Source organism: Homo sapiens, chromosome 6 (genome assembly GCF_000001405.40).
Source record: "Homo sapiens chromosome 6, GRCh38.p14 Primary Assembly".
Lineage (NCBI taxonomy): Eukaryota > Metazoa > Chordata > Mammalia > Primates > Hominidae > Homo > Homo sapiens.
The window spans coordinates 113,873,404-113,886,006 of NC_000006.12; the positions used below are offsets into that span (position 1 = coordinate 113,873,404).

Here is a 12,603-nt window from a genome sequence, read left to right on the forward strand (position 1 = left end):
CCAGTCTCTTTCAGCCTGAGCCCGAGACACTGGCACAGTTTTACTTCCACTATGCTTTATTGGTCAAAGCAGTCTCTGAGCCCACCCAGATTCTGGGAAAGAAGGACATTGACACCACCTCTTGATGAGATAATGTCAAAGAATTTTGACCATCTTTAAAGCACCACAACGCATGTTGGATATTCTATATTCCTGAGTGAAAGAAGACTTCAATTTGGTCACATGAACAAACTATTTCTGTGTTTTACAAGGGCAATAGTAGGGAAAGGAGGTGGTAGTAATATCAGAATTTCCATCAACTCTTCTGTCTTCGTTGCTGTTTATCAAGTAATGTTCTTCAAACAAACTGGAGTTGCTATGCCTTGATATGGTATAAATGAGTGTGTTTTGGATACAAATACACATGGTAAAGGTAATATGGTAAATACCATTGTTTATTTATATTATTTATATTATATTTATATTGTTTATTTATATTAATGGTATACTTTAGCCAAGTAAGTTTTTATCAAGATTCCAAAATATTATTGAGACATAATCAATTCAGTAAAAAACTATTTGAGATGGACACATCGGATTCTAGTGATGTTACTCCCCCAGGGTCTTACCCTATTGGGAATCTATTGTATAACTCACATATAACTGTACCTTTGGCCAGGCGTGTTGGCTCACGCCTGTAATCCCAGCACTTTGAGAGGCTGAGGTGGGTGGATCAATGGGTCAGGAGATCAAGACCATCCTGGCCAACATGGTGAAATCCCATCTTTACAAAAATTAGCTGGGTGTGGTGGCACACGCCTGTAATCCCAGCTACTCGGAAGGCTGAAGCAGGAGAATCGCTTGAACCCAGGAGGTGGAGATTACAGTGAGCCAAGATCGTGCCATTGCACTCCAGCCTGGTGACAGAACAAGACTTTGTCTAAAAAACAAACAAACAACTGTACCTTTATAAAAATTCCATCTTTTAAAAGTCTATAAATGGATCTGTTACATTTTAACAAACTACTAGAGGTAATTTCAAATAGATCACTTCAAATTTTCTGAATAAATATAATCTGTTGTGAGGATAGCATCTTGAAGAAATGTTATCAAGCCGTGGTAAAAATATATCTTTCCTTATATGTTCAACCACCATGTGAAATGTGTGAATCTAGCATAAAATGCAGTAAAAAAAAATTTTTTTTAAGTCAGTGAAATAAACTAAGTAAATTTTTCAAGAGAATGTTTTTATTGTGATCTTTTGAGTAGCACAAGGGAAACACAAAGTATAAATACGGTTTTTATACATGGAAAGGGGACACGTGACTCATTTAAGAGGAGCTAAATAATTATTAACAATTGTTTGTATTATTTAAATATTTGTTCAATGGCAGTGGCTACTACTTGTAAAGAAAGAGATACCCCATATCATCCTTTTGGATTCCACTTAACCATAAATAGTCATCTTGGTGGCCCAGTGGCCCTTGTTTCATAAATTTCTCACTGTACCACCATCCTAAAACATCTCTTCTGGCTAAAGCACACAGGAATGCAAAGAAGGAAGATAGACTCTTTATGAGTGCACATGTCCTTGCATACCTGTATTTCTATATCAGGGAGATCACAAAGAACCATTAAAAATGTAAGCCATTTGGAACACTAGAGCTAGAGGAGTGGCCAGATGGTAAAGATCTTGATCATATAGTACATCTGAAGGTGATGTATAGGGGCAGGAAGTATCTGCCACAGAACAGAGTTTAAGGCAGCGACATTCCTTGGGAGAGAAGTGGCAGCACTAAAAACAAGCAGTGAAAGCACCACATTTCCTTTGTTTTGGGTATCTTATACCTTTGGTTACTGAATGCTAAAGTCAAATCTCACGTCTGTTTCTTTAAGAAGCTCATGTCAAGATTTTTATTATTATTTTTTATTTTTTACAAGGTTATATCATTTCCATGGAGTTGGGGGATCACGTAACCAAGGTGAAAAGCAATTAAAATTAATTATTGTGATAGAGGTTAAGCTAGGTTAAAATACCTACCCAACCATCAACATTCCAGACTTCTAATGGAGATCTGTGTGTGCAGGGTGGTAAATAAGGGTTTGGCGTGTGGGGTATTAATTAATTAGCATCAGAAGAGAGAGAAGTCACACATGGTAGACAGTAAATATAGCTGGAGAAAAAAGACTCAAAAATATTTCTGTATTGCTGAGCCTTAAGTTCTAGAGTTTCAAACATGCTTGTTCAAAATGTAGCTTCTTTGTTCGTGGTCAACAAATTCCTCCCAGATGATGTCAGAAAGAGTGCCTTTATCTTTGGAACCCAGTGCAGGCCTAAAGTTTATTTCATATGGTATCAATACTTACTGAGAGTGTTTTATATATGATCCATTGTGCTAGGTTTTCAGGACACAGCCATGAAAAAGACAGGTTTCCTGCCCTTGAGAAGCACACAGGCAATAGGCAAGATTTTAAACATAATTAAATATAACAGAAAATGACCTAAAAAAGGAAATTCATATCTCAGAGAAGATTTAAGTGTTAAAAGATACAACAAAATTTAAATGTGAAGAAAAAGTGTTAGAAGAATCCAAGGCAGAATTTCTAACTATCAAAGTAGTTAAAATTTTGATAAATTTGACAACATAAAAGTAAAAAGTTATGCATGGCAAATAATACTCTAAGTAAAGCCAAAAGAAAAATGACAAACTGAGAAAAAATGTTTGCCACTCATAAATCAATGATTAAACTCCCTAAAGAGTTTTTATAAATCAATTTTTTAAAAAACCAACATCCCAGTAGAACCCAAGCAAAGAACATAGACTATTTAGAAAAAAGAAAATACAAATGGCTCTTAAATATATTAAAATATGATCAATGTTATTTTAAAAATGGAAATACAAATTAAAATTATACCATTTTCTACCAATTAGATTAGCAAAAATCAGAAAGTTTAATAACATAGTATTAGTCAAGGTGTAGGAGAATAGTGACTTCATATATTACTGCTGGAAGTGTGTAGGTTAGTGAAATCTCCCAGATAACCATTTTGTAATATCTATCAAAACTGTAAGTGCATATTCTCTTATATCCGGAAATTCTAATTTTAGGAACTCATCCCACAGATACAATCACACATGAAAAGTGACATATTTACATCATTATTAATTACAACATTGTTTATAATAGCAAAAGAGGAGAAACAACCTGAATGTCCATCAGTAGAGGTTGGGTCAAATAAAACAACATATACCCACATGACGGATTACTATGTGTTTTGGTTATCTATTGATAGTCACAAACTACCCAAAACATAGTGGCTTAAAACAATAACAATTATTTATTTTCTCTCACAATTCCATGGGTGACTGGGCTTAGTTGAGAAGTTCTGTTCTGTGTGATGTCCACTAGGGTCATCACAGGGTCATCTGGAGAGTTAAATCAGCTGGAATATCCAAGATGGCTCCCTCACATGCCTGTTAGTTGGTGCTGGCTGTTGGACGGGAAATCAGCATGGATTGTTGAACTGGAGGGTTTTAGCATTAGCTTTCTTCCATGTGGCCTCTCTTCATAGCTTGGGCTTCTTCCAGCATGGTGGCTAGCTTCCAACAGAGAGTTTTCTCAGGACATAAAGTTGTAGATATCTTAAGATCTCAAAAGCTGTAGATCTCAGAAATTATACAGCATCACTGCTACCTCATTCTATAGAGAAAAATAAGTTTCAGAGCCAGCCCAGATACAACGGGAGAAAAGTGGACTCTACCTCTTAATTAGAGAAGTGGCCAGGAATTTGTGGCAGTCTCTAATCTATACTATGTATCTATAAAATAGAAAGAGGTAATACTTTATGTATGGATTTGGAATCATTTCTAGTACCTATTGTTAAGTGATGGGTGTATATCAGTACAGTATAGTGATACGTACATAATATAATATACTATGTATGTATGCAAAAAGTATGGGCACAGGGGAAGATGCAAGATTAATTACTTACATATTACATTAATATCTTTAGAAAATACACAAGAAACTGTGTAGTTAAGCACAAGAGTGTAAGAATGGTCACTAATTTATCTTTGTGCCTGGTGAAGTTTGAATAATATGAATGTATTACCTTATTTTAAAAGTTAAACTCTAAAAATTATAACAAGTATTATAGGCTACATTTCCTGAACTAAAAATTAAGAGATATTTGGTAGAAAGCAGGAAATTTGAAATACATTCCTAAAATATCTATCATTTTGATAGTGATTATATTCACAATGTGACTGACAGAGGAAGAGAATGATCCAGGGTGGCCACAACAAAGGGATGGCTTTTGAGCTAGGTCTTGAAGAGTGAAATGATGACCTATAAATATTGGCAAGTTGCAGTAAGAAGACTGAAAAGGATCGAACCTGATGGTTTTCTTTTTTTTCTTTTCTTTTTTTTTTCTTTGAGAGAGAGTCTTGCTGTGTCGCCCAGGCTGGAGTACAGTGGTGTGATCTCAGCTCACTACAACCTCTGCCTCCCAGGTTCAAGCAATTCTCCTGCCTCAGCCTCCTGAGTAACTGGGACTACAGGAGAGTGCCACCACCCCAGGCTAATTTTTGTATTTTTAGTATAGATGGGGTTTCACCATGTTGGCCAGGCTGGTCTTGAACTCCTGACCTCAGGTGATCCACCTGCCTCAGCCTCCCAAAGTGCTAAAATTATAGGCATGAGCCATTGCATGTAGCCTCTATTTTTTATGTGAAAGAAGAGGCAAAGTTATCTCTGAAATATGATTTTTTGAGAATAAAGAGGAAGACTTGAAGAGAATGAAAAAGGTTAACAGCATTTCCATAGGAAATGAATTTAAAAAGTAAGAACAAGTAGAATAGCCAGGTCAAAAAATACATGAATTTGCCACACTGTCATCAACACAGCGATGAGATTTTTGTCTGCCTACTCAGTTACAGAGGAAACAGATCGTGAACTGACACAGGGTTGAGGATGAACAGCACAGGTGTGGGAGGAGGATGAAGGAATGTGAAAGGACACTGATGTGAGAGATGTTAAAAGCCATTGACCATGCAGTCCTGCATGGAAACCCAGAAGAAACAGGAGACAATGGAAACTCAGCAGCACCCATACAGACTCAGAGATGGTAATGGGAGAGGAGGTAGTGAAGTTAGATGAACAGAAAATAATTTGATTATTGGTTTGAAGTTGAAGATTTCAAACATGAAACAATTCTGGGTGAAGATACAACCTAGACTAGAATGACTGACCATGGAGTTCTGCTTCTAATACTGGCTGTTGGAAAGCTATTGATGCTGTTTTATTTGGAGACATTACTTTTTGACTGAAAAATATAAATTGGATAGGCACCCTTAAAAACCTGGGGCATAGTTCTAGTGATCATATTTTATAAACCCAAATTAAAGCAGATGGCTTAGCAATAGCCCCTACATTTTGGTAATTTGTTGATGTATTTATATGAAAAGACAAAATAATATGTAACATATAACAATATATTGGTTCTATGTCAGAAAACTCAGGAACCACAGTTTCTGTAGCCATTATAGCAGTAACTTTTAGAATGACAAATAACAATGAGGCAAAAAATTAAATACTTCCAAACATGCTTAAAATACAACAATTTTGAGTTAGACTGTAAACTTCTTGAGAGAAGAGACCATTTATGAACTCCTGTGTTTCAATACTCCTTTTGCACAATTGTTCCCTTCATCACTACCAATATTTAGGACAGTATGGGCCAACAGTAAGAGATAAATAATACTTCTTGTTTAAATTCTTGGTTGGTGATTTTATCTATCTCTTTTGGGGAGGTGCATTCCAGCTAGAATAACTTAATTTTTTTATCCCCCAGAAGGATGGGTGTATTCTTTCTTGTTCTACTGCTAGTTTAAAGAACAGGCGACTTCCCTGCTCAGATTCCAAATTCCTTAGGAAAACAAGAAGCGACAACAAAACCACACCAGTAACTTCCACTCACATGTCAGTTTTAAAACAACTTGGGAAAGGTCAGTCTATTTGACTTCCTTCTATTGTTGAATTTACCCAGTTCCTGATTATATTACAGTCAGGTGGTGATTTTTAAAGGATATTCCTTTATCTGTTTCAGTTTTCTAAGCGACATAAATTAACCAGGAGCTTTCTTTTCACACTGAATACTGTTTGTCTTGGGAAAAGATTAGCTGTGATTTAAAATTTTTTTAAAAAACCTGTTCTCTTTAGCTCTTGCCTTTGCAAGCACACCGATAGCACTGGAGTGGGAACCCGTTGAAGAGATAGGTAGAAGGGAGCCAAGGAAAGCTCACCAGTGACACGAAGAGGTCACTGGTGTGTACTGTATCTCAATTTCACTGCCAAGGACACTCCTTAGTGGATTAAGCACTAAATTTAGACTTACTGAAATTATAGTCTTAGCCTTCAAACTAGGATTTCAGTTTGTTTTGATTTCTATTATCTCAAAGTTATTAGGTTTGTCCCAATTATCTGAAAACACACATTTATACTATGCAGTGGCTGAGTATAATGTGTAGAAAATTGTTCCTTAGGAAATCTTTTTAGTCTATCTTATGAACAATTCAGAATAATATATTATTTTTATATTTATCATTTTATTGATTGTTATTTTACTTTTCAGTTACCAATGCTACTCTAAATTTTCTATGGTTTTCTATATAATCTCTATATAATCTCCATATTTTTAGTACATTACATTTTTTTACCTTTATTATTATTATTTTTATCTCCCACTTGGCTTGGCTGCTTTAGTACATTTTTAAATGCTGCACAGACAATATCTGATAGTTAAAGTAGAATTCAATGTTTTCTTTTTTTTTAACTTTTAACTTCTGGGGTACAAGTGCAGCTTTGTTACATAGGTAAACTTGTATCCTGGGGGTTTTGTTGTTGAGATTATTTCATCACCCAGGTATTAAGCATAGTACCCATTAGTTATTTTTCCTGATCCTTTTCCTCCTCCCTCTCTCCACCCTTTCAAAGGCCCATGTGTCTTGTTGCCCTCTGTGTGTCCATGTGTTCTCATCATTTAGCTCCCACTTATAAGTGAGAATATGTGGTATTTGGTTTTCTGTTCCTGCATTAGTTTGCTGTGAATAATGGCCTTTAGCTCCATCTCTGTCTCTGCAAAAGGATACAAACTCCTTCTTTTTTATGGCCATATAGTATTCCTTGGTGTATATATACCATATTTTCAACATGAAAAAGGGGTGGAATATCAAAATCATCATTTGAAAAAAGAAATCCACAAAACTGGGTGGGAGTGGTCTGGGAGGAGATTGTGCTGGATGAGGAGATGTGTTTAGAGCATAACTTACTTTCTTTCTTTCTTTGTTTCTTTGTCTCTCTTTCTCTTTCTTTCATTTTTTTTTTTTCAGACAGAGTCTCTGCTTGCTCTGTCACCCAGTTTGGAGGGCAGTGGCACGATCGTGGATAACTGCAGCCTCGACCTCCCAAGCTGAAGCAGTCCTACCACCTCAGCCTGCCAAGTAACTGGGATTACAGGTGCACACCCCCATTCCTGGCTTTCTTTGTTTTTTCTGGTATAGATGAGGTGTTGCTGTGTTCCCCAGATGGTCTCAAACTCCTAGGCACAAGTGATCTTCCCGCCTTAGCCTCCCAAATTGTTGGGATTACAGATGTGAGCTGCTACGCCAGGCCTAGAGCATAAATTCTCAGATTACTTGAATGTGTTTCATGGGTAAACCTGCTTTTAGACTTCAATAATACTACTTACCAGAATAATGTTCCAGAGGCAATTTAGTATATGTTGGTCATCAGTGTTTAGGAATTGGGTAACCAAACCAGCAAGCTTAAAGTAACGGACAAGGAGTGCAGAGCAATGGTTATGAGCACACATTCTGCTTTGGGGAATTTGCGCAACGTGACCTTGGGCAATTTACCTAGCCTCTCTCTGCCTCAAGTTCCTCACCTGTAAAAGGAGGATAACAGAACTACCTCTTAAGATTGCTGTGAGGATTCATGAGGTAATAATATATGTATCACACGATATTGTGAACATTAATCCTGGCACATAGTAAACACTCAGACATCAACGTGAATACTCTGCCCAGTTTTTAAGTTGGTGTAGACTCCAGATGAACCATAAAACTGGTGGAAGTTTTAAAATAATGCCCATTTCTAGAGGTGGAAAAAAATAGCAAGATCAAAGAGCCCTGGCCTCTATGAAGGGATTGTGAAAGAGGAGAGAGATAATTAAGCATTTGGTTTGTACCAAGGAGGAAACACGTTTAATTTATAGCAGGAAAGGCTTAGTTTCAAGTTGGTAGACTTCCTGGCACATTGCGCTGTAAGATACTATTGAGCTGAAAATTGCAAAGAAAGGAGAACTTACTCAATGTCAGTCAAGATGGCATTAGTAAACTTGGAAGCTTCCCTGCATCTTTTTTGGATATGAAGTATAATGATTTGACATAAATATACTACTGCCTAAAACAAAAGAGCTGGATTCTACCACTATTAGAGTCACTTAACAGGGAGAATCACTTCACCCTGGGTCTCCTGATAGCAATTCAGTAACTAAGTTCCCTTGGTTGAGTTCCAAGACCAGTAATTCTTATAAGGAGGTTCACTCTAGAGCAAATAGTGTTTATGGTGATGTTTAAGCCTTACCCACATTCAATTTGAATTACAATGGAAAGTAAAAGTATTTGACATCTAATAATCCATTTACATTTGTTAGTGATCTCAATTTAAATCACCGTGCCTATGGCCTGACAGATGAGTTACTAGATTTTGATTTTCCTGAGGTTTATAATGTTTTAAAACTCATTAACATTTTAAATATTTACTATCTCATTTTATTACATAAAGCAGCACACAAACAAACTGAAAATTATTTCTAAACCAAATTTAATCCAGAACAGTTATTAAAACAATATATGTTAAAAAATGACATTTTAAAAAGCAAATGTGAAGAAGATACAGAGAAATACTGGAGTATCCATTGTCAGAATGATTTAATTTCAGTTCAAAGGGATTTGAAGATCAGTTAATTTGTCCATCCTTCGTCATGTTATACACAGGCTGCCTCTTTGCATGTTCCTTGAAGTTGTGCAGGACAGAGCCTGTGTGGCCTCGCCCAGTGCCCTGGTGATAGATGGGAAAATGGACTTAAATGCACTTGCCCCAGGCTTCTTAAAATGTTTGATTTCTTGTTGACTTCTTGGGTGCTTTCCAAACTCCACAGTGTTGAAATAAAAGTTGACCTGCTAAATCTAAATTCACATTCTATACCAGGACATGTTGTCTGGTTAAAATGAGAACCTTGGAGGATATTATATTAAGTGAAATAATCCAGGCATAGAGAGACAAATACTGCATGTTCTCACTCATTTATGGAAGGCAAAAAAGTTGACCTCATGGAAGTAGAGAGTAGAATAGTGGCTCCTAGAGGCTGGGAAAGTTGTGTGTGTTAGGGGTGGGGTGGTAGGGAGCTAGCCAGAGGTTGATTAGCAAATACTAAGTTACTGCTAGATAGGAGGAATAAATCTTAGTGTTCTATGGCACTATAGAATGACTATAACTAACAAAAATTTACTTTCAATTTTTGTGAATAATTTATATTCAAAACCTACAAGAGTGGATTTTGAATGCTCCCAACACAAAGAAATAAAGTTTTGAGGTGATGAATTTGCTATTTACCCTGATTCGATCCCTACACAGTGTGTAGGTGTGTCAAAATATCACATGGTACCCCATAAGTATGTACAATTATTATGTCAATTAAAAATAAAAGGAAATAATCACTAGTGAAGACAAAACTGATTTAAATCTTAAAAACTTTATGCTCTCCAAATATCTAAATGCTTTCAAAACAGAATTTCAAAATGCATCCAGAGGAAGGACATAGAATAGAGTAGAAAAAATAGTGCATAGCTGTTTGGATAGCAATAGCAGTAAACCTGTTTTTTTAAAAAATGAACAGTTCCCTTGAGGTAGAAAGTAGGTAGGAGCACGTGGAAGAAGCTCAGGCCTGGAGCCATTTGGTGGCATCAACCTCTGGTGATTTGAGAGCTGCTCTGCCACCTGCGGTGCTCTCAGCAGTTCCTGTCTCATTGTCTTAATTTTATGGGATCCTGGTTTAGGTAACCTCACAGAAGCAACGATTCTTTGAGGAATCTATAAAATGTAACTTAGAGAAGTCATTGAGCGATAGCTGAAGGAGACACTGGGGAAAATTGAGAATGTGAGCAACAGCAAGCAGAGGTAGCACTAAGATATTTATTTTTGCATTTGCGGAAATGCATCTAACTTATATGTTATGTAACTTGTATCCTTTGGACTTCAAAATGCATTGAAATATATGCAAATAGAAACTTTTAACCTCTTTTTCTTTTCTGTCCTGGTGAATTATTTGTACCATGGTCATTGTGATACAATTTCTGACATTTATCCACCATGAAGGGCAAGAAATATCATATACTTCTTTGGCATTCCTTACATGTACAGCATTATGATGGGGGTAGGACAGAGTTTTATTACATTTGTCTCATATTATTAAGGTAAAGGAAAGGGAGAGATGAATCCCTAGTTTTCTAGGTTCCTGTTTATTGTCCCAAATATACCATGTATGTGTTTTTTCATTTGTCAAAGCTTATCAATTGAGTGTGAAACTCTATTTTCATTCATAGTCCACAAAGACTTACTCTAAATTGCAACCTATTGCAGTGGAAAACAAACAAAGAAAAACAAAAACAGGCTGGCTGGCACTGAAAGTGCTGGCAGGCTGAAGCAGTAATCTGTTGGTAATTTTATAAGATTTCTTTGCTGATTACTATTTGGGCAGTGTCCACATCACTGATGAGTTCACACACTCACAGCTGTTCTAGGAGCAAGACAACATCTCCAAAAACAGACAAGGATTATTCTGACCATTTAAAAAGCTGGTTCCTGCTAATAGTATTGTTGATGATCTTCTACGAGAATTTCAATTAAATGAAAATCAAATGCCAGCTCTCAGAGGCCATATGGTGTCATGAAGGAAAAGCCGCACACCCATAGTCAAGGAGCCCTGGTTCCTGCCCTGGCATTGCCAACAACTAACTGAGAAAGACAGTGATCAGCTCATGCATGCACAGACCTAGGCAAAGATCTTTAGAATCAGAGAGAAAGGACCTGCTGCTGTGGTAACCCAAAGAAACTGAGGAAAAGCTTATATTAGACTGAGAAGAAGAACAGACACATCTGAGAGGACAGAAAGGAAGGATTGGGCTCGAAGAGAAAACTGCAGAGAACACCTCCAAGTGCGGAAACAATAACTCATTAGTGCCTATAGAATGCCAAGCACTTTTTAAAAATAACTCATTAATATTTTTATTGGAACATGTAATGAATCGATCACCATCCTTTCAAATTTCATGCATTGACATCACTCAGCAGTTGCCGCATTGCAATGCCAAAGGGCCAAGCACTTTCATCTAGTATTTCTAATAGATAAAACAAACTTCCACCAGAATGTGTAATTGCGGTTGTTGAGGAAACTGAGATTCAGAGAGGTTGAATTCTTGGAGACACACAGCTGCTGCATGGCACCCCTCCTCTTACTGGAGATTTGGGCAAAGCTTTCAGATGATTCAAGCTCTCCTGAGTGAAGGGAGCCTATCGACTATGAAGATTCTCATTCTGTGTAGTCTGAAATGTTCTCACTTGACGGTAAAATGCTTCCTATTCTTTACATAGCTTGCACTGAGAAGAGAGCTACCAAAAAGAAGGAAGGAAGAGAGGAAGAAGAGGAGGAATCTGAGAGAAGAAAGTAAAGAAGAAAGGAAAAGGTAGAAAGAAAATAAACTAAAAGGTAAGAAATAAAGGGAAGAACTAGTGGGGCCAAGAGAATAAAAGGAATCTGAATAAAGATTCTATTTTCTGAAGAGTAATAAAATACCTTTCACTATGTCCTGACCCCAGGTACAGGGGCCTGTTTTCTCCAGATGTAATAACTGCTTCAAAGGAAGCTTCAGACCAGGAGCAAGTAACTTTGCCAAGTCAAGGAACTGCAAAATGGACACTCCACACTACAGAAAGCATTTATTTTGAAGAATTAGATCTATTTTCTTCATTTGCCTGGTAAATTCAGGCTAGTTTTCACCATAATATTATTATAACTTTTATACAAGATCTGCTATAAAATTTTATGTAAACTAAGTGTTTAATAATAGGGACCCACAGAACAATTCTAGGATGTTAAATTCTTTTCAGAGAGGAAAGCTAAGCGTGGCCATTGTACATGTGTGTTTAATGATCTTCTGTGCTTGCTATTATAATTATATCACAGTCATTAGTTTACTCACAAAGACTTGCAAATACGATATATGAATATAGAATATATTACTATTATAATAATTTTTTCTTGAGACAAAGTACTGCTTTGTCACCCAGGCTGGAGTGCAGTTGCACGATCTCAGCTCACAGCATTCTCTGCCTCCCAGGTTCAACGGATTCTCCTGCCTCAGCTTCCCAAGTAGCTGGGATTATAGGCATGCACCACCACACCTGGCTAATTTTTTTGCATTTTTCATAGAGACAAGGTTTCACCATGTTGTCCAGGCTGGTCTCGAACTCCTGGCTTCAAGTGATCTGCCCGCCTCAGCC

At 36.8% G+C, this 12,603-nt stretch overlaps 1 long non-coding RNA gene across 1 annotated transcript; it reads left to right on the forward strand.

The window, feature by feature from the left end:
* Position 1: 1 nt before the first annotated feature.
* LOC124901382 (uncharacterized) lies at positions 2-12,383 on the forward strand. Its single transcript, XR_007059716.1, has 3 exons — positions 2-420; positions 7,371-11,809; positions 11,920-12,383. It is a non-coding gene; the product is annotated as an uncharacterized LOC124901382 (long non-coding RNA).
* The last annotated feature ends 220 nt before the right edge of the window (positions 12,384-12,603 follow it).